The sequence below is a fragment of the Homo sapiens genome, chromosome 20 (genome assembly GCF_000001405.40).
Source record: "Homo sapiens chromosome 20, GRCh38.p14 Primary Assembly".
NCBI classification, from domain to species: domain Eukaryota; kingdom Metazoa; phylum Chordata; class Mammalia; order Primates; family Hominidae; genus Homo; species Homo sapiens.
The window spans coordinates 53,059,359-53,086,659 of NC_000020.11; the positions used below are offsets into that span (position 1 = coordinate 53,059,359).

Below are 27,301 nucleotides of genomic sequence, written 5' to 3' on the forward strand. Positions count from 1 at the left end.
GCATTTAGTTCTATTGCAACATGGTGCTTTGGGCAGAGGAAATGAAAAACTTAAACAAGGTTAACATTCCGAGAAAAGACTAGGAAAAAATAAATACCCCCGTCCCTCCCCAAATGAAAGATGATTTACAAAAATGAAAATCTGTATCGATAACAGAGTCTTACAGATGACAAAATATACCAGTGATGGTTTGTGACTAGGACATGAGCTGCCATTTCTCCTGAATTCATATCCAGTTTTAGGGATAATGTAATGAAAATGTTTTAGTGTGATTAGTAAGAGGTTATTAATTGGTTAAAGACCCTCCTACAGCTTTGAGATTTATTTTGAGGACAATGAAGAATTCTATCTCACTTATTTTGTTTCACGTTCCTATTGACTTTGAAATGTTGTCCTTTTTTCTGTTTATGTATGCTTAAGAAGAAGAACTAAAGCGACTGTCTTTCTTCTTACTCAGGAAGATTTGCCAGAATTTAACACTAACACTTCATCCCTTTGGAATACCCAGTCGTTCAAAATTTTTTGTTTTGCCTATTAGTGATTTAAAAATACCCTAGCTTCATGACATTTGCAGATGTAGCATTATGGTTTTGTCTATCAAGGAGGCAGCCAAAGGCCGAGGGTTTGTATTGTGCAGGGTGGCATTTATATGTAAAAGTGTGTAATTTTACTAGTGAGCTGCCCAGAGCTATGTCGAAATGTAGATTTGCGGCTTCTCTCTTGGGCTACATTGTCTCTGCCTGCCAGTGTAGTTGTAAAGCAGTACACACAAAACAGGTCACTTTTTACAAATGACTTTTGATTCTACATTTATACGGCCATTAAGAAACTAAAGAAGTCAAAATTTTTCAGATCTACCTCACTGAATTTTATGAAGGAAAAGATATGCTTTGGTAGATTCATAAATTTAGGGGATTTTGAGGGCTGTAGAATGTATCTCCAACAAATGGCAAAGGTCTATGGCAAATAACTCTGATTTCTCAGGAGCTGTTTCCCTGCTACTCACATAAAAAACACTTCACTACTAATACCTAAAACAACCCCATAGTTGCTTATTCTATCCAAACTATTATCCAAAGTTATTTCCTTAAAAAGTTGAGTCTTCCCAATTTCCCTGCCTCCCTAATGAAACTGGTTTTCTACACGGTGCTAGGCAGGACACAAGTATTGACAGAATAAGTTATGCTAAGTTAGATAGCTGAAACTGGATAGAATTTCCATCACTCAGAAACAGAAATGTAAAGTTGGAGCTTAAGCATGGAGCTTAGCAATTTGTCTTCCATCTTCAGAAAACTCAAAATTATACTTACGTAGTAAAAATGGGTTAACTAAATAATATCCTGAATAGAAGGAAGAGTGTTTAAAAGTGTTTTTTCATAAAAGTGAGTAAAAATATTAAAATATCCTTCTACACAACAGTATCCTTTAAAAGTAATAAAACCCCATCAAAACCGTGGATATCAACAGCCAGATTTTTCACCATATCCTGGCAGCACTCAGAAGTCAGGGCAGGCCTCTCTTCCTCAATGAATCCTTTTCCTGGTTTTCACAGTCTAGGTTGGGTGGTGGTGTTTCATTTCCTTAGTCATTCTATATTCCTATCCATTATCATACTTATTACATATTGCTTCATTGTTTTCTTATCTGTCTGTCAATTCAATGATAAGTACCTTACCGGTAGGTACAAGATCTTACTAAAGGTTCCTTTCTTGGTTCTAAGTACAAAATTGACACTGTTGAACCCCAAAGAACATTTGTGAATGAATTAATCAATGAATGACTGAATGCAACCCTGAACGTTTTTTGAAGCTTCAGATATTTTGAACGCCAGAAATGACAAGAAAATAGAGGTAAGGTTGGAGAATTTCAATCTTTACTCTCCTTTTAAGCACATAGAGGAATTCTACCACCTCTTTCAATAAGAATCAGCAATGCACAGATCACCAGCACATGCGTCAGAGAGAGTCCATTGTAGGGGCTCAACATATATTCACTGAGCTAAACCCAAATGCATTTGAACTTCTGCCCAGTAGCTTGTCAAAAGACACCCTGAGTCATTCTAACAGAGGATCATAAGAGATGAAAAGGAAAAGATATAAGATTATGAAAACAACATTGCACATCTAGTCTGGACTTCTCTAATCTGCCCAGTGGTGAATCCAGGCAGCAGGTTATGAAGATGCTGGGAGATTTCCTGTGTAGAGTTGTTGAGCTGAACTAGCTTTCTCAACTATTCATGTTAATGTGTCACCAGTCTTGGAACTTTCTTTTACTGACAGGTTGTATCTATTTTTCCTATTCTGTTTTTGTGAACTCAACTTAAAACATCATCCAGCAAGGTTCCAGAAAGACTCCAGGCTTCTTAGTGAGATGTTATCCAAATGGCTTGATTCTTTGGATTTGGCACTAGAAAGAGACATGTTTTTTATGTATGATTTAAACTCAAATTCCATTTTAAAATCAACGAATGTGCTTCACCCAACCACCTCAAATCTCAGAGACATGGCCCACTTGAAATAAAGGTTAACAATCTTCAAGTTTAATTCCCAAGCTTTTCTGATATCATTTTCCCAATTATAGATTGCATCATTTTTTCTTCCCTATGTAAATAAGTAAGTCTGGGCTGAAGTTAAAACACTTAAGCAAGAATTAGCAAGGCTTTCTTTAAAAAAAGTAGGCCATATATCTTCCAAGAAATCTCTATGAAGAGATGTGTTTTTATACCTTACCAGGAAGCAGCTGTGGTACAAGAGTGGGAACTTCAACTCTTAAAAGCTGTTTTTAATCTCAACTAAGCCACATCACCAGTTAACCTCTCTGATTTTGTCATCTCATCTGTAAAATGGAAATTAATTGTGCCTTCCCTACAGGGCTATTATGAGGATAAAATAAGACAATCACCAGGAAACTGCTTGGCAAATTGTAAAGTGCAGTATAAATATAAGAGATATTAACTATAAACGGTCATATGGGAGGTTTTCGAGCACAAAACAGTAAGCTAGAGAAAATTCTGAGGCAGTGCAAATTCAGAAAGGAAATTATAAAAGTAGGTATAACCATCCTAATAGTTGTGACAATGTAATTTCAGAATATTGGTGAGTTACAACATATACCACATTTAAGTGTTTACAAGTGTTAGTGTTTACAAGTGTTAGTGTTTCTTGAACTTCATAAACCAACCTCTGTTACCTTTCAACTTTTCCTCTGCAGCTTCCTCATCTCCCTCAGCCTTCACAGAATTGAAGAGAGTTAGGGCCTTGCTCTGGATTAGGCTTTGGCTTAAGGGAATGTTGTGGCTGGTTTGATCTTCTATCCAGACCACTAAAACGTACTCCATATCAGCAATAAGGCTGGTTCACTTTCCTATCATTTGTGTGTTCAGTAGAGTAGAACTTTTTATTTTATTCAAAAACTCTTTGTTGGCATTCACAACTTGGCTACCTGGTTGGCACAAGAGGCCTAGCTTTCAGCCTGTCTCAGCTTTCAACATGGCCTTCCCAACTCAGCTTAGTCATTTCTAGCCTTTAATTTAAAGTGAGAGATGTGTGCCTCTGCTTTTCACTTGAATACTTAGAAGCCATGGCAGGGTTATTAATTGGCCCAATTTCCCTAATTTCAGGAAATAAGGAGGGCTGAGGAAAGAGCTTCCCTATTTCCAGTTTGTTTGGCACCCCCGAAACAATTACAACAGTAACATCAAAGAGCACTGATCACAGATCATCATAATAGATATAACAATAATGAAAAAGTTTGAAATATTGCGAGAATTACCAAAGTCTGGCACAGAGACTTGAAGTGAGCATGTGCTATTGGAAAAAATGGTACTAATAAACTTACTGGATGCAGGCTTGCCACAAACCTTCAATTTGTAAAAAGTTCAAGCTTTTTACAAATTGAAATACCTCTGAAGCACAATAAAATGAAGCACATTAAACCAAGCATGCCTGTATATGCACTTAACCAAACATTTCCAGTACTGTAAAATACTCTAAAATTCTACTTTGCCTATATATTACATATGCACATTTATATAGATATTATGCATTTAAATAAACATTAATGCAAAGGAACATATGCATAAAATGATTCATAATATAAATTATGGACAATTTAAAGATTTTTAAGGGTAGATTTCAGACTGTAAATAAACTTACTACTTTCACACTCATCCCCTGCAGAAGATGAGAACTGGCAGTATAGTCTAATTACTTAAGTAGGAGTGGTGGACATCATTGTGTTATTTTGGAGCATATTTTTCATCTTTTCTTAAGTGAATTGTAAGTGAATAGAAAATGTGTGTTTGCTTGCATGCATATGCATATGCAAAAATCAAAACTGATTTGCCCAGGTACTCAACTTGAGCACAAAATCACAGGCATGAATATGCAAGGAAATTTGAATGTGTGTTTGTCAGCAACCGAATATTTGGCAAAGGGGAAAAATTAAAATAGATTGCACTTAGAGCTCAAGGAAGGAAGAATAAACACAAATTTACAGGTGAGTGTTAGCAAACAGCACATATATTGAATAGTAGTCTGAAATAGACCCATCTGAACTCGGTGGGAAATTGACATTCTGTTTGTGCTACTGTGTATTAGAACTGGAAGCCTCAAGTTATATTTCTTAATAGCGATGCAGCAAATTACTATATCTACATGGCAGGCACTTGGCTTTTAACAGCTGGCAAGATTGAGGGTTATTTGAGGCATTTAAAATAAAAATTTCAGATAAGATCAAATCAGTGTGGTCAATCAGCAAGATAGTCAACAGGTATTTATGACACCACCACTTATCTATATACATATTTTTAAATGTTGTGCTTGATGGGATCCGAATGGGGAAAAGACCCAAAACATTAGGAGATCTCTGGCTCTGGTTTAGAAGACCAAATGGTAATAAACAAGGGCCTTGGAGTCACACACACCTGCCGCCAGAACCCGGACACCTCTTACTTTCTAAGTAAGCTCCACATTTTATGTGAGGGCTAGGTTCTGAAGCCAGGCCATTAAGCAAAAGTCATGTACAGTCAGAATTATCTTTGAAATTTTATGTCTTCTATGCTTAAGCCTTCTTTATTTTTTTTATGTTACTGAATTAAGAACGTTTGAGCCCCTATGCCATTAGAAGACAGAAATTTAATATCAGCCAAGACACACACACACTACTTGGGAGGCTGAGGCAAGAGGATTTCAGGAGTTTAAGAGCAGGAGTTCAAGCCTGCAGTGAGCTATGGAGTGCACCATGCACTCCAGCCTGGGCAACAGAGCAAGACAGCATCTCTAAAAAATAAATAACTTTTTAAATAAATAAATAAAAGACGTAGACAGAGAAACACACACACACACACACAATTGTGTGAAGCCTTTTCTCGTCAGTTTTATGCCCACAAAAGTTTGATAATTGCTGTGCTAATGAAAGGGCCAAAAAGAAAGTCTATGTGTGGATATCTGGACTTTTGACTCATCCTGCCTTTAAGATATGATACTATCAAATCCCCAGTGTGAGGAGCAGATGGTAAGACTTCTAAAGTGTTCCTGCTTGCCTTCAGGGTTTACTCTACTCACTTATAATAATAAGCCTCTCTGACTTTAATACATGTTAATAGACCTATTTGATGTTTAGAGGATTAAATGAAACAGTGGATGGCAACTTCTTTAAGGGTTAAATTCGAAAATCGGTACATAAGTTACCTGTGCTTTGTGACACTTCTTCATTTATGTGATCTTTGTCAATGCACTTAACCTCACTGCGCCTCATTCGCCTCGTCTGCAGGATGATGCAACACACAATACCTACTTAAAGGAGTTGGTGACACTCTAAGTATGATAATGCGTGAAGAGCTGTTGGCAGACTAGTAGCAAGAAATTAAAACATAGTAACTATTTTATTATTATTACAAATTATTGTTGTCGTGGTTGAGATGATTATTATTACTTGTATGCTCTGAGACTTTGGACATGTTACCAGATCTTTCTGTGCTTTAGTCATTCATCTGTCAAAAGGGAGCATGATATCTTTTCCTCCTACCTCAAAGAGCTGCAGAAGGAACAAAAAAAAGACAAGGGGTTGGAAAAGCATGAAAGGTTGTACAAGTAGAAGGTGAAAACGGAATAATGAAACATAATATTCAAATCCCAAGGCACCCCAGTTTCAGGGATGTTGCAAACCAATGTAATCTGCAGAACAAGGCATGTGGCTGAATAGCAACACAGTCGGGACCCAGGCAGATCGTAAATGGTTGGATTTGTCCTGTCCCCACCCCTGGGGATACCACTTAAAGTGCATTCCCTCTGGAAGGGGGCGTGGAAATCTTGCTGTGGAATACACAGGACCCTACCTTCCTCCCAGAAAATACTACCATGAAGAGTGGCTTTGTGCTGCAGACGTGAATATATAGGTCTCTAGCCCAAATGGCAAGAAACCTATTGTTATTTTTTTCACAACTGAATTAAATTCTTATTATAATCACCTTTGCCATTGGTTGACAGAAACGTAATCTCTGTCAAGTTAGGGCATGTAGGTTAATTCAGCTTCCTGAGATTGTGCCTAAGTTCCAGGGTGTTTACAGACATCCAAGAATCTGGGGGTCATACGTGGTTCTCAGTTATCACCTGTATCCACGCTGACTTCCGCAGGGATCTGCAGCTCCCTTTCTGCTCACCGACTGAAGGCTATTCCGGAACTGCTGGGGCTTTCCTAGAAACGTCTCAGGCCCCTTGCTCAGTTGCAGCACGCAAGCATCTCCAGTCTTCTGCTCCTGCGTCATGGTGCGTGTGGAAGAAGGAATGGCGGCCTAGGGGAGGTGGAGTTTCTTTACAAGGCATTGGAACAGAGACCTCTTCTGCTCTTGAATCGCCAAACTCAAGGGGAAGGGTTGGTTTATGCTCCCTCCGACCCCCGACTCCACTCGAGGCCAAGGAGGCCCTGCAAGTAGCAAGTGGAAGTCAGGACACAGAGCTGCTTCTCCGCTCCGAGTCTGAATGGCAAAGACTGCTTCTCCTTCACTGCCCCCCACCCCCCACAATTTTCACATTCCTCTCAATACCCAGGAAGCCTTATCTTCTACGTAAAGGGAGGTGAGAAAATGGAGGTGAAGTGGACCTCCGGCTATCGCGTTTTGCTCTCCTGAAGCTGTTTCTTGTTTGTTTTTGTTTGTTGCTTTGTTTGTTTGTTTGTTCTGAGACAGAGCCTAGCTCTGTCACCAGGCTGGAGTGCAGTGGCTCACTGCAACCTCCGCCTCCTGGGTTCAAGTGATTCTCCCGCCTCAGCCTCCTGAGTAGCTGGGATAACAGGTACGCGCCACAACACCCTGCTAATTTTTGTATTTTTAGTAGAGACGGGGTTTCACCATGTTGGCCAGGATGGTCTCAATCTGCTGAGCTCGTGATCTGCCCGCCTCGGCCTCCCAAAGTGTTGGGATTACAGGCGTGAGCCACCACGAAGCTATTTTTTTAAATGCTAGGATGTCTCCTTATGAAGTCCCCAAACCAAGACTAAGGCTCCTTGTTCAGCTTTCTCCCCTATGATGCCTCTTCTGAGGCAAGGGCTGCGTCTTTTACAGAGTGGGGTGCAGGAGACAGCTTCAGAAAGTCCCGCTGCAGGAGTGGGACCAGCTCCTCACATTTCAAAAATATTATCCACCAACAATGTTTAGAACATTACCCAGAAAGGTAGATTTCTGAAGGAGTTGAGCGTGCATAGTAGAGCGTGATTCTGCCATAATCTATGTGGTTGGATGAGAACCAGTGAATTGCTTTGGTCCGTTTATGACAACGTGAATAGTTTGTCTTATGGTGATAGGGGACCAGTGATTCTAGCTTTGACTGTCTCTTCGATGGTTGATGGTATGTAATTGAAACAAGTGATCCTCCCCCTTGCCCCCCATCACATCCTATTCTGCCACATTCTTAAGGGAGGTGAGAAGTAACTCTTTATGCTTTGTCATTCTTGAGCAGGTTTTTTGTTATGTAAAAAGCAATTATAATTCAGAGAAAAACAACTCAATGTGTGAAATGGTAAAATAATTCTAATGTCACTTGCAGGCTCCAGTTGGGGTCTGCAGAATACATCTTTGTATGGAATAGAAATACATGTGCCCAAATTTGAGAATTGTCACTGAAAAGTAACCTTTCTCTTTCTAGCCCTCCTGGGCAGTGCAGCCAAGTCCTCATCAGTGCCAAAAATATACATTTAGCAAATGTCCATGCCAGCGCCTCACTCCCAGAATGCACAGTTCTCCCAAGCTGCTTCCAGAGCCTTCTAAAGTACTTTCCCACTCCATCTCTGACCCTCTCTAACTTGGTGGTGTTCATTCTGCAGACAAATAGATCTTTTGAAAATGTAAACGTGATAGATACGGTCACTTTCTTGCCTTTAAAACTCCTGCCTTCCCTGGCAGTTCTGCTGTGGTTCTCTGGGTGTGTTAGTGGCTGCTGGGACAAAGTGCCACAAACTGGGTGGCTTAAAATCACAGAAATGTACTGTCTCAGAGCTTCAGAGGCTAGAAGTGCAAAAACAAAGGTGTTGGCATGGCATTGCTCCCACTGAAGGCTCTGGGGAGGACCCTTCCTTGCCTCTTCCAGTTTCTGGTTGTGGCCAGCAATCCTTGGCTTGTAGACACATCACTCTAATCTCTGTGTCTGTTGTTACATGGCTCCCTTCCCCTGTGCGTCCGTGTTGTCAGGTGGCATCCCCTCTTTTGGTGTCTGTGTCCAAATTTCCTTTGATTTTTAAGAACACCAGTCACTGGACAAGGACCAATCCTAAAGACGTCATCTTAAGCTGATTACACCTGCAAAGACCCTTCTTCTGAATAACGTCATATTCACGGGTACCAGGGGTTAGAACTTCAACTTTTCTTTTCAGGGGACACAGTTTAACCCATAACCCTGGGTTTATTCAGGTAAATTCCAACACTTTACCATCACCCACACCAGTCTATGGATCCCGAGTCCTGCTTGTCTCTTTGGCTTCAAGTTTTGTTGTTGTCCTTCTCATAATACTTTCATACTCCAAACTCCACTGGACTTCTCTGTTTTTTGAATTGCTGTGCCACTTCCCACTTTAGGAAATTTTTTTGCAAGCTATGCATTCTTCCTGAATTGTCTTCCTCTCCTTATTCCCTACTGCGTTACTTTTCTGGCAGAATCTGCCTTAAGCCCCCACACCGAGTCTAGTTGCTTTGCCATCTCCTATAGCTCTTCCATGGCACTGACCACACTTGGCAATCAAGAATGTATTTGTGTGACTATTTAAGTCATAACAATCACACCAGTGTAAGGTCCCAGCAAGGGGTCTCTGGCCAGAGTAGGTGCTTAATAAGTAATTATTAAATGAATAAGTATAAGATTTCATAAATGCTAAATTAGATTACAGTATGGTTGGTTAAGTCCCATAGGACACCCATATGACTTTTAATCTTAAGAAAAATGGTCCTTTTCATGCACTCTTTGGATTTTAGCACGCTGCAACTTAATTTTGGCTTTGCAGAGGAATCTATTAGAGATTTTCTGTTGTTTTTTTTTTCCATAAAGAACTGAGGCAATGACTGTGAGAACTGGATTTAGAAGTTGAACACCTAAGAACCCCGTTTTTCTTAAAATAAAAAAAAAGGTAGAATAGAAGAGAAAGGAAAGGAAAAGAAAAACAACTGTGTCGAGTGTTAGGTTTACAGTTCAGGGAAGCACCAGGAGCCATTTTATCTGATTTTGTTATTATTTAACCACTGCACAAACGAGAAGAGCCCATAATCCTCTGTGGAATAATGCATTAATCCTCATTAGTTGTCATTCAGTTGGGTCTGCTTTCTCTGCGCCATGTGAAATATGAAGAGATACCTTCCCAAGAAGGATAAATGTGTTATCTCATAGTTCACCTACTTTAGAATACCCAGTGGGCTGCACTGGAAGTATATGTTGTTTATCATTACTTGTAGGGGGCAAGATGGGCCCTACTGAAGACTGCTGGACCGTGAGTGATTTATGGTGCTTTTTACCCCTCCACCGTTGGGGGAGGTGTCCACATGGTTAGAATTCCATCTGTCCCGTATGCAGCCCCTTTAATTAATGATTTATCCTATTATCTTCCTTCCTGAAAGAAAAAAATATCGAGGTTTTACTTTATCGGTAAAACTACCATCTACCAAAACAGAATCATTATCTAAATCCGAGTGACAAACAAGTTGATGGGAGTATTCTGGGGAAGAGAAACCTAAGGGGAAACGGGTTAACAAAATCCCTTGTTTCCTGAGGGAAACATTAGGAGGTGTTCCCTAATCCTGCCTAGCAAAAGGTCAATGCTTTGATACACACACACACACACACACACACACACACACACACACACACACACACGCTCAAGTTTCCATATAACGAGAGGAAAAGCAAAGAGACGCCACTGGATGAGGGGAGCCATTAATACAGTGGGTTTGACAGTTGGATGCTTGAAAAAAAGATGACTTCTTATTAACATGCAATTGTCACCATGTTAATAATGAAATATTGATCTGTTCTTGCTTAATGAAAATCAGCTTATTCTAATTTACCCCTGGAAAGAGGACCACTTAGGGTCCCGTTCCAACATCTTTACACTATCCATCTATGTATTGTTTATAGCTAGATTTATTTTTTAGTATGCACCTCTGAGCCAGGGAGGGGAGAAGGGAATAATGAATGTCAGGTAAACCAAAATTATTTGTCTTTTCTTCTTTTGTTGAAATTCAGTCATCTTATTTAGCAAGAAAAACTTCATGAAAGACCTTAGAACAACATTACAGGGTATTCATGATTTTATGATTAAATGATTACAATCTTTTCCAATAAAAATACTGTTATATAAGAAATGTGAACCTTAGAAAATCACTAGCACTCCTCATCTAAAGCTTGATTTACAGCTATTTATAACCATATATGCATTACAGTAAGGACTGAGAGAATCCACAAGATTTATCAGTCTTACTCATGGAGAACAATTTTACACAGAGAAACCCTGTCTAATAGCCTATCTTAATTAGCTGCCAATTTTGTGAACTATTTCTGTTTTATAGTCACAGTTTTTCTACTCATTTATTTACCTGCGCTTTCGAAATTATCTGTGAAGCAATCTCTTTCGGATAATAGGGAAAGGAGCCAGTGACTGTGACCCTCTAAAAATGTAGATCATTTTTATTTACAATTTAAAATGTAAATGCTTTGGGGTCAGGCCTCTGCGAAAAGAGTAATTCACAAGTCAATACATTACTCCTTCACACTTAAACATTGATTACCAAGAGGCACATACAGTGATGTGTGTGTGTATGAATGTGTGTGTATGTGTGTGTGTATTTACCAATGTAGTGGCTTTTATTGTTTCTGTTAGGTGTTGTTGCAGAGAGGTTCACATAAACATTTATATAGGTTTCAGAAAACGGTTGTTACTGAGGAAGAGCCTTTTTCTGTTTACACAAATTCAGAACAAAGAAACATTGCTACAGCTTCCGGTAATTGACATGTGGGCGTGTTCTTCAAGTCACTGACTGGAAGAAGTGAGTGTCTGAGATTTATTTTTGACAGGACTTAAATTACTGGTAGTCTGACACATTTTTGAACAATTACTAGACACTGAGGTGTTTAAAGTAATGGGTACTATTTGTTTGAGGGATGGGGAAGTTTCAAAACCGTTAGAACGAAACAATTTTCCATTTGATTAGTAAGATGCTAACACTCACATTTATATTACTAAATAGCACATACATAAATGACTCCTCGAGTGAGAATTTTTTCTCAGAATAAAAGTTGTACTTTAAAAAATATCCCCCCCATTTGGTGAACTGGTGAATCATGGAGTTCAAGAGAGGAATGAGCCTCTGTGCTCACTGTCAGCTTTCTCCCCTCTAGTTCTTTAGATCAGTCCCTGAAGTATACAGAGACGGGAGCATTGTCCTGCTTTGTTTCAAATGTCTTAGAAACTAGGGCTTAATGTTCATTAATTAGTGACTATCTTTCAGGAGCTTCTAAACATTGTTGAACCAGCCATCTGAACTCCGACTGCTAAATTAAAATTCACATTTCATGAGCTGCTAGTGTCCCCAAAAGATAAAGCAACTACAGCTGCCATAATTGGCAACACACTGACGTTTTAAGTTACCCAAAGAGTCAAAGCAGTCATTTTTCTTCCTCCTTCTTTCCTGTTCATGGGTCTGATGAAGATAAAGGATTGCAAAGTCTCTGTCCTCTTCTTTTCTATTTACTATGGCTTAAAAAGCCAGGCCAATTTTGGGGGAAGGGTCTATCTCACGGACCTACGTGTTCTTGCTTGTAGTTCTTAAAGCTGTGGGTCGGGAGAACCCAGAGCTGACTTCTGTGACCCATCACAGGTGACATGGGTTTTATTGCTTATCCAAGATCTTTTTCCTCTCCCCTGCATCCAGGGACGTCCGTGAAGTCATGTCCCCTGAATACCCCTGGAGAGTAGTACTGTGTGTATCTGTCTATAAAAATCTCTTTTGCTTGTTTTATTGGAGACACTGAGGGCTTTGGATTGTCGTTGTCTCAACCAGGAATGATCCTGTACTGCCCCAGCTCCCCAACCCAGGCCGGCATTTTGCAATTTGCAGAGTCATTTTTGGTTGTCAAAACAGATGGGAGCTTTTACTGTCAGCTTGTGGGGTAGAGACCAGAGATGCTGCTAAACATCCCGTAATGCACAGGGCAGCCCCACAGCAGAGAATCACCTGGCCCCAAATGTCAGTCGCGCGGAGGCTGGGGAACCCCGGTGGAATATTCTGTGCTATGCTGTAGTAGCTGGGGTTTGTTTTCCTAACCAACAAATCCAAACAGAAAAGCATCGGGGATGCTAAGCTGGGTTGGAGCAGAAGTAGTTTGGGAAATTCTTTTGTTTCTATGACATTAAGGACTTTTTTTAAAGGGATGCATCCCATGTTTTTGGCTTCTTTAAGGCAACATGGTATACAAATACAAGTGCAAAGAGTATCTTCAGGGTATACCACAAAATCATAATAATCCAGCAATATCAATTACCACTTGGGGGAAAGGGGTCCTACTATGTTTCTCTCTTAGAAATAATAAAAATATTCATTGACTGAATGCTCACAGCTGCTCTGCAGCCCTGCTTCTGTCCCTTTTCATTTGTAAGCTTGGAAAATAAAATTGTCCTTCCTAGTCTCCTCATTCCTCATTGCAACATGAAAGGGGTGAATCTAAATAATGTCTTGTTTCCATTCTATTTGTAAGAGCCCATAAAATTGATAAACTACTTATAGATTTTAATTAATATGATTAAAAATAACTGATTTGGCTTCATTTTCTCCTTCTCATTTGGGTGTTTTGACACCATCCCTAGAAGGTTTTCCAAGACTCCTCTGAGAAGTCCATTTTTGGAACCTAGAAAGTATGGGAATAGAGTCTGTGAGACTGGACATTTCCTTACTGTTTACTGGGGGGTCGAGGCAGGTAAATTCACTAGAATGGGATCAACCATTAGCCTTGAAAACAATAAAGGCATATACTTCTGCCCATCCATCCATCAATCCATTCATTCAATCCTCCATTCCTTCATCCATCCATTCATCCCTTAATCCATTCATCCATCCCTCCGTTCCTTCATCCATCTATCCCTCCATCCATCCCTCCCTTCATCCATCCCTCCCTCCATCCATCCCTCCCTCCATCCATCCCTTCCTCCATCCATTCCTCCTTAATCCATTCATCCATCCCTCCATTCCTTTATTCATCTATCCCTCCTTCCATCCATCCCTCCATTCATCCATTCCTCCATCCATCCCTTAATCCATTCATCCATCCCTCCATTCCTTCATCCATCTATCCCTCCATCCATCCCTCCCTCCATCCATTTATCCCTTAATCCATTCATCTGTCCCTCCATTCCTTCCTTCATCTATCCTTCCATCCATCCATCCCTCCATTCATCCATCCATCCCTTCATCCATCCATCCATCCATCCATCCCTTAATCCATTCATCCATCCCTCCATTCCTTCATCTGTCCCTCCCTCCCTCCCTCCATCCATTCATCATTTAATCCATTCATCCATCCCTCCATTCCTTCATTCATCTATCCCTCCATCCATCCATCCATTCATCCATTTCTCTATTCTTCCATTTACACATATGGATAGAGACACATCTGAAATATAATTAACTGAAGGTTAGAGTAATTTCTAGATGCTGGGCTACTGAATGATTTTAAAACTTTCTTCTTTATAATTTTCTCTATTACTTAAATACAGTAAGTATGAGTCATTTTAACAATGAAATTATTATTTTTTAAAAGGAAGGGGATGATACGGGATGAGCTAATGGATGCTTTTCAACAGTCCAGGAACACTGTTTTGATAGTTGAAAAGAGTGGTTCTCATCTTTTATTAACTCCATTCCGTCAAGTTAAAAAAAAAAACTGGTCTATTTTCAGTTTTAGGCCTGGGTTGATTGATGTACATTTTTAACTTTGAGACATGCATGTTTAATTATAGTTTTCCACTGACCTCAGTGTTTGTTACTTATACTATACATTAGCTAAAAGTAGACACTATTAATTATACAGATTTGTTTCAGGATTTCTTGGGGGCAGGATTTTGCTACATACTTTGGGATGCCTGGTGATGTGTGAGGTGCTTCCACACTTTCTAATTTCAAATTTCAAGGATCTTCAGTCTGGCTGCAGTGAAAAGAAACTAAAAAACTGACTTCGCAATTCTAGCATTGTAAAAGACATGTACATACAACTGTCTCTCACCTTCATGACATCCTTGGTGAACTCTTATGTATCTTTTAAACTGCTGTTCAAATGTCGCCTTCTCAATGGAGCCCTCCTTGACCACTCCCTTGTGAAGTTAGAGGATTCTTCCTTTGAGTAAGAAGTTAAATGTTTCACTTTCTTCTCACAATACCCTGTATTGTACTTGGAAATAGAAGTTACCACATTGCTGAAATTATGTCCTAAGTATCAGTCCTTTCTACTGGATTTTGAGTTTCCAGAGGGCTAGGACCAGGATTCATGGGTCTTTGTGTTCTTACAGTGCCTCAATTGCTCACCAGGAAGTGGGCTGGCCAGAATACAAGTCAGAATGAGATGGATGCAGTACGAAGTGTAGAAATCCAACAAATGTGTAAAAGGTAAAGGCAAACCAGATTTTTTTAAAGCTTATGATTGTTGGAAAGTTCAAGTATACACAGACTAAACAGCTGGACAAAACTTGCAAAACAATGAAGAAAGGAAAGAAAATAGTGATTGCTATGTCTGAGTTTCAGGGACTCATAATAAAGGACTATTCAGATTAAGAAAAGGCTACTTGGAAACTATAGATACTAATTATTTTTAACTATAGATACTAATTATAGTCTGAATTTTAAAGAAAAATTCAGGCACATCTACTCTGTGCCAGGGAAGGTGCTGAAGGAACTAGCATGTGTATTACTCGTTTTTCAACAGAGATATGTATTGTTAGTCCCATTTAACAGATGAAGCAATTGAGGCTTAGAGAAGCAAATGACTTACTTGAAGTCATCCAGCTCATCAGAAAGAACCCCAACCCTCCCAAGGTATTTGACCTTGCAGGTCAGTGTTTTTCCCACTCAACCACAGATGTTTTATGTCCTCTTTTGTCGCTGACGTTTCCTCCATGTGGAAAGCTTTGAAAGTGCTCCAGTCACATTTTGAAATTTCATGACAAAAAATTGAATGTCATCCAAAGCATAGTTGAGGATTTAAACATCCCTGTCAATCCTGGCTGTCATCACCAAAAGATTTCTATCCCAACGATAGATCATTGTGACGTGCTTGGCCTAAAGGGCCCTGGGCTGTTATAATGAGTAAGATTGGAATCTACTGAGTAATGCAAATAAATAAAAAAGAGACAGGTAGTCTCAGACTTTTTCATTATTGCCTTCTTTGCTGTGAAGCTCATGGACTGCTCTGTGCAAAGGATCTTTCTTTTTACCATTTTAATAGCCTGTGCAATGGGATTAAGAAAGATCTTGGGTTTTTCATTCAACAGATATTTTCATCATTAAAATGCTTACTGTTTTTGAGCACATAAGTGACTCTACTGGAATGGTAGTAGGAAAATAGGGACACGAAGGGGATTTGAAGTCAGATTATGAAAGCACTGCATGCCAAGCTATAAAAGGAGCGACAAATCAGGGAGGTTAGTTTCTGATACTAACCTTGGCAAACACAGAGAGGGGAGAAGCAAGTGCAAAAGCCCTAGATGAAAATGAGTTTGGATAGTATGTTCTAGAAACAGAAGGCAGCAGGACAGGTGAGAACTAAACAAGGCAGAGCGTGATAAGATATGAGAATGAAGGTGGAGGAAGGAGTAGGGTGATCACCAGCCCAGGCTGCTAGGAGACTGAGGGAGTTCTTGGGGTGATGGATTTTCAGTTTTTAAACTGGGAGAGTCCACGGCACACTGGGACAAGTCAGCCACCATCGGTGGGAGCCAGGTTCTGCTGGGACTGGGGACCATGGGAAGGAGTTTGGGCTGTACTTTACATGCAATGGGAGAGACTGAATGTGTTTTAAGTGGCACATTCTCAACTGCATTCAGTCTGGAGACTGAAACACTGATTCCTTGTTCTTTGGCAAGTCACCCAACCCCTCTTGACCTCGCTTTCCTCACTTCTAGCGAGAGGTGGTTACACCAGATGATCTTCAAGGTTCCTTTCGACTCTGAGACCCTAGGACACTTTTCACTTTGTTCTGTAGACAGAAAAGAGTGGTCAAGGATTACTGAGCAAAGGAATAACACAAAGAATTTTTTGAAGGATTAATCTGGCAGTAGTTTACAAAACTAATCACAGCAAAGAGAGATCTGAAGAAAACAGTTGAGCTCTTACAGTGATCCAAGCAAGAGATGATGAGAGCCTGGACTGGATGACAGCAGAAAGGATGATGGAGACAGGAAGGAAGGGTGGAGTGATATTAACCAGAAAAATTGCTGAATTTGCTGGCAAACTGCACATGGCTGATAATGGAGTCACCAAAGTGTGATTTAATTCATTCATTCATTTGTTCAACTTACTGAGGCCCTATTGTGTGCCAGGCACTGGATGAAAGTAGATGAGCAAGTCCTTGCCTTCACAGAGCTCACAATCTAGTGGGGAAACCAGTATCAGACTGCACGTTTCAGTTGTGCTTAATACTATGAAAGGACTGGGCCAGATTCCATACAAGCGATGCGGAGGTCCTGACCCAGTCTGAAGATCACTGAGGGCTTACTGAGATGAGTGATGTCAAAGCTCACAGCTAAAAAAGAAAAAAACAGCACTAAATTAGGTTGATGGTGGGAGGTGAGGGTGGAGCAGGCCATGGAGTGGAGAACATTTTAGGCACAGGTACCTTATTTGCTGACAACATGAGGCAGGAAGATGTTGCACATTCAATGAACTTAGGAAAACACAACCTGATGAAGGACTAGATGGAGGATCCTGGAAGGCTGGAAAGAGTTAAATTATAAAAGGGACTTGCAGATGCATAATTCATTTTGGACGCAATTCAGAGAGTGATGGGAAGTCATTAAAGAAAGAGTTATAAACAAGACCCTGATGTGCAGTTTCAGAGTTTTGCATTTTTGTATCCGGAAGAATCATGGTATTCCTAAGAGAACTCGGGCTTAGAGAGAGTGGAGAGGTAAATTCTGATGGAAAAGCAAAAGAGGGGAAAGGAAAAGTGTGACCAAGTGGAAGTAGTCTCTCAGGTGCTGAAGACACAAGTCTATGAGCTTAGCAGAGATGAGAGGTAAAGATAATGCTCTGGAGGCCAGGCACGATGGCCCATGCCTGTAATCCCAGCACTTTGGGAGGCTAAGGCGGGTGGGTCACTTGAGGTCAGGAGTTCGATACCAGCCTGGGCAACATGGTGAAACCCTGTATCTACTAAAATACAAAAAAAAAATAGCATGGTGGCGTGTGCGTGTAATCCCAGCTACTTGGGAGGCTGAGGCAGGAGAACCATTTGAACCCTGGAGGCAAAGGTTGCAGTGAGCCAAGATTGTGCCACTGCACTGCAGCCAGGATGACAGAGTAAGACTCTACCTCAAAAAAAAAAAAAAAAAGATAATACTCTGGGGATCATCTGTACAGTTGGAGCTGTGAGAGTGAATTAGTTTTGTTTGAGAAGGGAGAGTTAGCAAGGGGAGAAAAGATTGACAAGACCAGAGTCTTGGGACCTGTCCACATATTAGGAGCAATTCTGGATGATCCAGAGATAGAAAGGCAAACAGAAGGGAGGACGACCCAGGAGGTTTAGGCACATCATACACAGCAGCCAAGCCTGAGTCACACAGACAGGGTAGTGGAGGTATCAAATACTGCACAAAGGTCAAAGAAAAACAAAGCCTGACAAAAGGCCAGTCAGTGTGGCAATTAATAGATCATTCGTTATCGCTGAAAAGGAGGTTGGTGACTAATGTTTGGATTACATCACCTTGGACAAAATTAATAACAAATTTCCTGATAGTCACTTGCAAAGATGCAATGGAAATTGGCTGCTCACTCTCCCTGTCTGTTCTGAAATTTCTTAACTTTGTGAACACTCTAATCTCCTCTGAGTACTGCAGCAGAAAATTGAAATGTGCCCTGTGTACAATGTGGGTGAGTTTCTGTTACCCAAATCCTTACCTTTTAGATGTTTAGAATGTCAACTTCTCCAATTTACTGAATGCGTAGGCAGAGTTTGCATGACTGTTTCTGAGAGTGAATCTATCGGAAAGGAGGGAGAATGACATGCGAAGAGCTTCTATCAATCACGAATCCAGCTTTAGACTGCAAAATCTGTGTGTTCACGCTAAGAAAGGGAGATTTCCTGAAGTCAAAGATCTAAACCCAAAATCTAAAAACATATGAGTAAAGAGTTTTGCACTTAGGGGGATTACTCAGAATAGAGAAAATAATGTGGGTTTAACCATTTCATGACAGCTTTTTTTCTATTCCTTTGAATGAACACCTAGACATTTTTTAAATTAAAATTTTGAGTAATACTTGTTCATTGTAGAAGATTTGCCAAGTCCAAGAACTACAGTATGCCTGACACCTAATAAATACTCGTTAAATATTTCTTGAAAAAAGACATGAAATGGTACAAGATAAAACTGGATTAGAGGGACTCTGGCATATTTGGGATCATGTTAACACTTTTCGATGTGGTCTTTGAGCATGGAGGAATTATTATAGGTTTTTAGTCACAGGATTACATCATAAATTATCTTTGAAAAATACCCTGGCTGCATTTTGCTGGATGTATTGGAGTAGAATGAGGATGGATTCAAGGACAGCAGTGAGGTAGTTACTGTGATAATCAGGTGACAAAAAGATGGTGGCTTAGACTAGGCTGGCAGCAATAGAGATGTAGAGAAGTGGGTGGATTGAGATAGATTTGGTGGTAAAAATCAATAGAGCTTGGCTATATGGTAAATTTAGAGGTACGCTGGGAATAATGGAGTGGGGGAAAATTTTGGTAAAGGTAAAAATCGTAATTCCATTTGGGAACTGTTAAGTTTGATGTTCAAGAGTTAGGGAGAAGACCATTGGGTACTTATCTGGATTTCAACATAATACCCAATTACATCAATGTCAAAGTCCTAGCAAATAGAACATAATGAACCCCTGGCAGTGGACGAGCATGTTTAGGGTGAGATTATTGAGGAAGAAAGACTAAGCCCTGAGAAAGGCCAATATCCAACATTGAAAAGGAAAAAAGTCTGCAAAACATGAGCTTTTGGAGAGCGTGGAAGACTATCAACATAGGGTGATTGTCAAAATAGGAAGTAATAGAGAAGAGAGTGTCTCAAGAGGGAAAAAGTGGTTAGCTCTACTAACTACTTTTAGTAGAAGTCAGTAAGGTGCAAGTTGAAAAAATGCACACTGGACTTAACTTGGCTGAGCTCCTGGGTGAACTTAGTAAAAGCATTCACAGTAGACCAATGGGAGGAGAAGCCAGACTGGGTGGGTTGAAAAATAAATGAGAGATGAGAAATAGAGACAACAGTGTGCATATCTCATGCGGGTTGCCAGACAGTGGTTAACGTAGACAGTGACATGTTCACACTGGAAGAGGTTAATCTGCAGAGCAAGTGCAAAACCCTCTCAAATCGCTGCTATGTTTAAGGCATCTTAGCGCTACAGAGACAGAATAATCCTGTGTATTGGGAATACAGAAAGGAAAAAATCAGGAATGCAGAGACTTCAAGTCTTTAGAGGCCAAATTCCAAGGCTTTGGTCTGAGCCAGGCACTATTTCAAACAGCTGGATTATGTGCCAATATGCCTAACGAAGTGAATATCAGCTGGCCCCACACTGGTAATAAAACGATAATAACTCTATAAATAAATGTATTGAGTGCTGACTGTGCCCTCTATCACACTAGCCACTCTATACCCTTTATCTCATTTAATTTTCACAAAAGCACCAGCAGATAGCTACTATAGCTACTAGTAACCTTTTTCTTTTTCTGTTTTTTTTTTCTTTTTTTTTGCAGAAGAGATCCTGAGGTCCACAAAAGTTGAATTATATGTCCTAATACACATAGCTTATGAGTGAAGCCGTGATTCTGATTGGTCTGACTCCAAAGTTCAACTTAGGTTATTCAGTCTCTTCAAGTTGTTGTTGCCCAATGAAAACTTGTTGCCTAGCTAACTGGAAATCTGACTGAATTTCCAGACTAGCTCAGCTTACCTAATTTAATAAAAAACATCAAGACCCGAAAAGCAATTATGTAGAATGATTCGAATCTTAAACGAGTTAATATATCCAGAGCTCTTATGGTACCAGACGCATAGAGAGCCTTATGTATGTGTTTCCCATTAATTCTTACTAAAAGGCTCTAGAGAGAAATTGGTCTGCCCTTCCCTGGTGCTAATCAAACATTGTGAATAGTAACACCATTTTTTCCTCCCAAGGGCCACTAAATTTCTGCTTCTTACAGAGTAGTTTTCAACTTGGTCTTAAGGAAGAGGATGGTATTTCCTGGCTTTGTGCTTAATCTCTTTACAGGAAATGATATTGTTGTAGGCAAGGACAAAGGTACAAGTGTACACATTTAACAAATGCATTGAATCCTCTATTAACATTGCAAGTCAGTTCTTTAGAGCAACAGTCCCCAACCTTTTTGGCACCAGGGATCAGCTTCATGGAAGACAATTTTCCACGGACAAAGGTAGGGGAGATGGATGGTTTCAGGATGAAAGTCTTTCACCTCGGATGATCAGGCATTAGTTAGAGTCTCCTAAGGAATGTGCAACCTAGATCCCTCGCATACACAGTTCACAACAGGGTTCGTACTCCTATGAAAATCGAATGCCCCTGCTGACAGAAGGCAGAGTTTAGGTGGTAATGTTCGCTCGCCCACCGCTCACCTCCTGCTATTCAGCCTGGTTCCTAACAGGCCACGGACCTGTACCGGCCCGCGGCCCAGGGGCTGGGGACACCTGCTTTAGAGTCGTATCATTTTTGTTGATCCAGAATAACAAAGAGATGAACAGCCTAAGTCCACCAGCTATGAGTTTGGGATTGAATTTGACACCAGTTTAATTGAGGCAGCCACGGAGATCAAGGCAAAAATAACACTTCTTAAGGTCCCACTGTGTAGTGACAAACATTAGCTTCTTTAATCTTCATAATGCTGTCGGTTCTGCTATAATACTGCTTTTAAAACATGTTTTTTAGAGACAGGATCTTTCTCTGTCACCCAAGTTAGAGTGCAGTGGCATGATCATAGCTCACTGTAGCCTCAAACTGCTGGGCTCAAGCAGTCCTCCTGCCTCAGCCTCCCAAGTATCTGGGACTACAGGCATGTGCCACCACACCCACCTGTTTTTTTTATTATCTTATTATTTTTTATTTTGTAAAGATGAGGTCTCGCTATGTTACCCAGGCTGGTCTTAAACTCCTGGCATCAAGTGATCCTGCCTCAAACTCCCAAAGTCCTGAAATTACAAGCCTGAACCACTGTGCCCAGCCAATGCTTCCTTAAAACATAATTTTGCTCCAAAATGGTGGATACACTTTCAGCTTGACACTGAGTTTGCATTTGTGTACGTGTGACTTCGTCCTTGAGAAACACTGAACACAGAAAACTGCACCCAGCTGAACCAGGCCATGTAGAAATACACAAAAGCAAACACACACATACCTCAAACATCTACTCACTTCCTTCAGCTGGTGTGCCACAAGCCCCACCCACCCATGCACAATTGCTGTTACAACGCTGTAGGATTCCAGGTAACACTCCTCCCACCACTTCCAACACCCACTTCCACGGCTCTTTATTAAGGTAAAATACTTATTTATCACGGTGTTTATAAATTTTTTCACCATTTAACCTGCATAAAACGGTGCTACTGTTTGTATTAGGTTCCTGCTTTTTTATTATATGTTACTGACAGGAGCTTTGTTCTCCCAAACCCATTTTCCCCGTAAGCTCTGTGGGTTTTATTGTGAAATTTAGAAGACTGTGGTCCTTTTTAGAAACACACAAACACCTTATATTAGACTGACTGTACGTAAGTATGAAACAAATATGTTTATTCTTTTTTTTTTTTTTCTGAGACAGAGTCTTACTCTGTCGCCCAGGCTGGAGTGCAGTCAGATATTTTTGTTCTTATTCCCATTCCACAAATATGAAAATAGCCCAGAGGAGATGAATAACTTACCCAAGGTCACCCGTCACTGACTTTGTATTTGTGTAATTTCGTCACTCCCTTCTCTTAACAGACACTTCTAAATAGCTTCAAAGCACATTGAACTGGACAGTTGTTGCAAACCAGCTTCAACATTACAAAAATAAACATTTTCCAGAAAGGCCTTCACTCAAGATGACCCACACAACTCTTTGAATGGTCTATGTATTTTTAAATCATGTGGTAATCCCCTTTGTACATACTAAATAAGTCCCATTCTGCTCACATGTTAATAAATTTTTCTCATTTGTGAGAGTTGCTGAATAGAGCAAGCGAATTGTTTTACTCAGTAGGTGGTCGAGCCATAATAAAGAAGCCTCGTGATTAAGTAGAGTTGGAGCCTCTTATCTTTCTCACTGAGTGGGAGGCACCATTAGTAGTAAAAGTAATTACCTGTGTAGAACACGCTGATTGCATCAAGTACCTACTACACGCTACTAAGATAGTCATCTCCATTTTAGAGCTTCTTAAGAGATCTTCATTTGATGTTAATTTTACATTTTAAGCCAAAGTACATTATTTTTGGAAAACATTGTCTTAGCTGGATGAACTCATTTTTAAAGCCTTTCAAAGGACTTCTGTGCCCTGGTGATTCCCTCACCGATGCCCTTTCTCCAAAATGGCAGCTGCAAAGCTGTCTAAACAAAGTTGGAAATGATAAGCCACCTAAATGTGAAAGAATCTATCTGGCAAGAGTTGGTTTTATGTGGGGGTGAAAAACCTGTGCTTTCATCTATGAAATCACAAAGTCCGTTATGGGAAGGTGTTGGCTATTTAAAGCAGTAATTCCTGAGAAACTGTCCATGCCAAATCTTGTTAAATGTTGTACTGGATAGTTTCAGCAAATTTCAAATTCTTCTCTGATGGGAATATTAGAAACAGGGTGCTCCTGGTTAGATGGAGGCAAGGCCAGAGCCTTGACACTTAGTGGTGGTAACTCAGAAAGAGTCCTCAGCAGAGGGGTTTTGGAGGCCAGAGGACTCCCCCAGCTCTGTCTTTGGCTGACAAAATGACCACTACTTGCAACCTAACCTTCTGTGTATAAAATGAACAGATTGAATAGGTGTCCCATCTAAGTCCAAATTTTGATGTAGGTATACAGCTAATCATTTATTAGATTTATTAGAATTCTTTATGTGTGTGCATTTACAGTTAGGCATCTGTGCAATCGTCCAACCAATGAATCACACCATGCCTTTGAGTTTTCCAATTCTCCCTTAAATGTAGCTATCAATGTTATTTTTACTTATAGGACCCCAAAATGTGACCTTCCTTAGGGAGGTAAATAAGACATTGCTTGTAGGCCTGACTTGAGGCTTGTAAATAGCTTTCCAAATTAATAGGTCTGCAAAAATATATTCTGAAGCCTCACATTTCTATCGGTTTTAACCGTATAGCCAGGGTCGGTGATCCTTTTTTCGCCATATCTACTTCTTTCATATTGCTGATCACATCGGAAAGCCAAAAAAGGACTATCAGATATGATCAGGTTACCTGATAAAAAGAACAAACAGTTTTCGAAGTCAGACAGACTGGTTCAAATCCTGTTTCTGTTTATTCAGGCTCAAACCTTAGTCTGTCATTGTTACCAGCTGTGAGACATTCTGCAAATTATTTAACTAATTGAAGTATCAGTTTCCTCATCTATAAATTGGGCATGACAGTAATATTTGCTTCACCGTTATAAAGACTAAAAGCAAATGAGATAGTATGGAATTCTGTTTCTGTTTTTACTGGAAGGAATTATAAAAATTTCCAGTTTGCATTGATAACTTGAAGAGGGAATGTCTATTTTTTTTATAAGTTTTCTTCCCTTTCTATGTGAATTTTTTTAACTGTAAGCATTTATTGCATTTTTTTTACTTCTGTCTTTTAACATCATTTGATTTATCTTGGGTAAAATCATAAGCCTTCTTTATTATTGTTTAAGTTTCTCTGATTTAAAAAAACTAAAATATTATTAAAAATTAAATAAGATAACATAGCTAAGGTATTTTTCATAATGTTTGCCACAGAATAGCCACTAATCAAATTTGTCATAAGTAATAAGATCACTTCCATAACTACAAAAATTTTATAACCCAGGAAAAGTAAAGAACGACAAAATACACAGCAATTACTCAAAAGATTTTTCATTCCACTTATTCTGGTTAATTTCAGGTCCTGGAATCAAGAACAAGTGTTTATATATCGGTTAAATTGTTTTATAATGAATTTTGAAGAACCCTTGGAATTATTTTTGTGTTGGAATTATATTGTATTAAAGAGTGTTTGAAGCAATTTGGATATTCAAGTGGACTTAGTTTTGTCGGGGTTTTTTCCACTAAGATTTTTCACTGTTTGGGCATTATTTAAGATTCAGCCCAACAATATGTCACTAGCTAAAACTGAATGATGCTGTAATCCATACAGAGGACAAATGACAAATTTGTTGACTAAACTTCTATCAGTTTGGTTAGTGAGGAGCATTCTGATTATAGGTGGGAATTTTTGAGCAAGATTGACTCTTAATTTCATGTTCAATTTTTAAAAATTTATTCATCCTTTCCTCTGTTTTTCTTCCTTTCCAACCAAACTTCCTCCCTCCCTCCCTCCCTCTCTCCCTCTCTCCTTCTCTCCTTCTCTCCCTCCCTCCCTCCCTCCCTCTCTCCCTCTCTCCCTCTCTCCTTCCCTCCCTCCCTTCCTTCCTTCCTTCTTTGGTTAAGCACCTATTCTGTATTTTAAAACCAGTAGTCAAGCTCAGTTCATACTTTTTTATGCAAGTGCCTTTCACCAAGACAAAAACCAAGGCTTGAACTAACATTTAGCTTTTCTGAAAGCAATTTACTGAGAAAGTAAGATGCTTGGGTTTTTTCTGTGTAGACATTAATAATCATTTATTAGATTGTTAGGCCTATTTCAAGCCATGTAACCTCACTGGGTCTCAGTTTGCTTTCCTCCAAAATGGGATAATAATACCTGCTTTATCATATACATGAAGAATTTAGTCCTGTGCTAGCTCATGGTGCATTTGTTAAATAAGAAAAATAGATGCTGGGTGTGGTGGCTCACGACTGTAATCCCAATACTTTGGGAGGCTGAGATGGGTGGATCACCTGAAGTCTCCTGACTTCGAGACCAGCCAGGCGAATATGGTGAAACCTCATCTCTACTAAAAATACAAAAAAATCAGCCGGGCGTGGTGGCGGGCACCTATAATCCCAGCTACTCGGGAGGCTGAGGCTGGAGAATCGCTTGAATCCAGGGGGCGGAGGTCGCAGTGAGCCAAGATCGCGCCACTGAACTCCAGCCTGGGCAACACAATGAAACTCCATCTCAAAAAGAAAGAGAGAGAGAGAGAGAGAAAGAAAGAAAGACCGATATTTCACTTTAGGTAGAACTTTTGCATGTCTTGGAGAATCTGAAATATGACCAGGCTGTCAGTGGGGAAACACACCGAGGAGAAACTGCATAGTGGTAGTGGCTTGGTTCCTAAAGTAAGACAAACTCAGGTGTTCAATGCTGTTATTTATTGAACACTTATTTACATGCCAGGCCCCTTGTCAATTACTTTGTATGCATTGTACACTAGGTGTTATTTTATTATTCCCATTTTACACATAAGGAAATGAAGGCCCCTGAAAGAGGGCAAGGACTTTCCCCAGGATAAATTACAAAGTTCAGATTTAAACCCAGGTGGTCTAGACCTCATGATCTTAAACACTATGCCCCCAGGATTCAGGGCCAGAAAGGTGCCTAGCTGCAAAGTCATGCCCATTACTGAGTTCAACTTCCTCAAATTCCCCCTGAAGTAATCCCACGCAGGGCTCAGTGGTGGCGTTCAGGCGTAAGCATTAAACCACAAGCCAGGCAGACCTTCATGAGGGCTTCTCAAAGTTCTCCTCTCCAGCTGCGCTCAACCTCACCTGTGCCTCTCAAGGCCTAGGGTTATTGTGCATGTGGCATGGTCTCCAGCTGTTCCTCATCCTGACTTCTCCATCTGCACCAATCTCTTTGCATGGAGGCCGTGTCTTCTGGTCTCTTGGTAGCTCAGTAGTGGTGGGGTGGGTGCCAGCTGCCCACTGTGCATCTCAATCAAGGTTTCTTTAGTTGTAAGGAAGAATAACTCTCTTCAAAGGAAACTAAGCAATAACAACTAAACAGTAACAACAAAAATGTCTAAGGAGGGCGCTGGCATAGACCAGGGAATTGATGCAAAGGTGGGGTTGAGTGGGATGTCGGAGAGGGTAGAGCCAGGTATCTTTATGAACCAAAAGGTATATGTGTTTTGCACCTTCCTTCAGACTTTCCTTCTCTCAAGATCGCCATATCTCCATTCAGATTTTTGGGCTAATCTCTACCAAAAGCTTGGCTCTCTGTGGGTAGCCTACTTTCAGTCCATTTGTCTCTGATTGAGGTGGAGTCTGTTAGGGCTTGAGGAGCAAGTAGTTCTTGTGGAAGGGAAGGTATGGCTTGAATAGATCATCCCCAAGTGTGTCTACCACATTGGTTCTTTGGAAGGTGATTGTTGGAGAAACCTCCTGTCAGGAATGATGTATATAGGGCAAATAACAACCTCTCCCTGGTGGCCTTAACCATAAAATAGAAGTATGGACAGCTCTGTTCATCCTAA

At 40.2% G+C, this 27,301-nt stretch overlaps 1 protein-coding gene across 9 annotated transcripts in view, besides 2 other annotated features; it reads left to right on the top strand.

Moving 5' to 3' along the window:
* The window catches only part of TSHZ2 (teashirt zinc finger homeobox 2), a 522,973-nt gene that overhangs the window by 87,001 nt on the left and 408,671 nt on the right, over positions 1-27,301 (top strand). The window lies entirely within an intron of this gene.
* Positions 5,793-6,992: an enhancer, noted in NCBI's record as "BRD4-independent group 4 enhancer chr20:51681690-51682889 (GRCh37/hg19 assembly coordinates)". NCBI's record gives its function as "activates an origin of replication core promoter dependent on BRD2, P300/CBP, MED14 and CDK7 cofactors, and independent of BRD4, by STARR-seq in HCT116 cells {active_cell/tissue: HCT116}" and the evidence as "EXISTENCE:reporter gene assay evidence [ECO:0000049][PMID:35650434]".
* Positions 7,629-8,130: an enhancer, noted in NCBI's record as "NANOG hESC enhancer chr20:51683526-51684027 (GRCh37/hg19 assembly coordinates)". NCBI's record gives its function as "activates a minimal SCP1, AML or CMV promoter by ChIP-STARR-seq in naive H9 embryonic stem cells {active_cell/tissue: H9 hESC(naive)}" and the evidence as "EXISTENCE:reporter gene assay evidence [ECO:0000049][PMID:30033119]".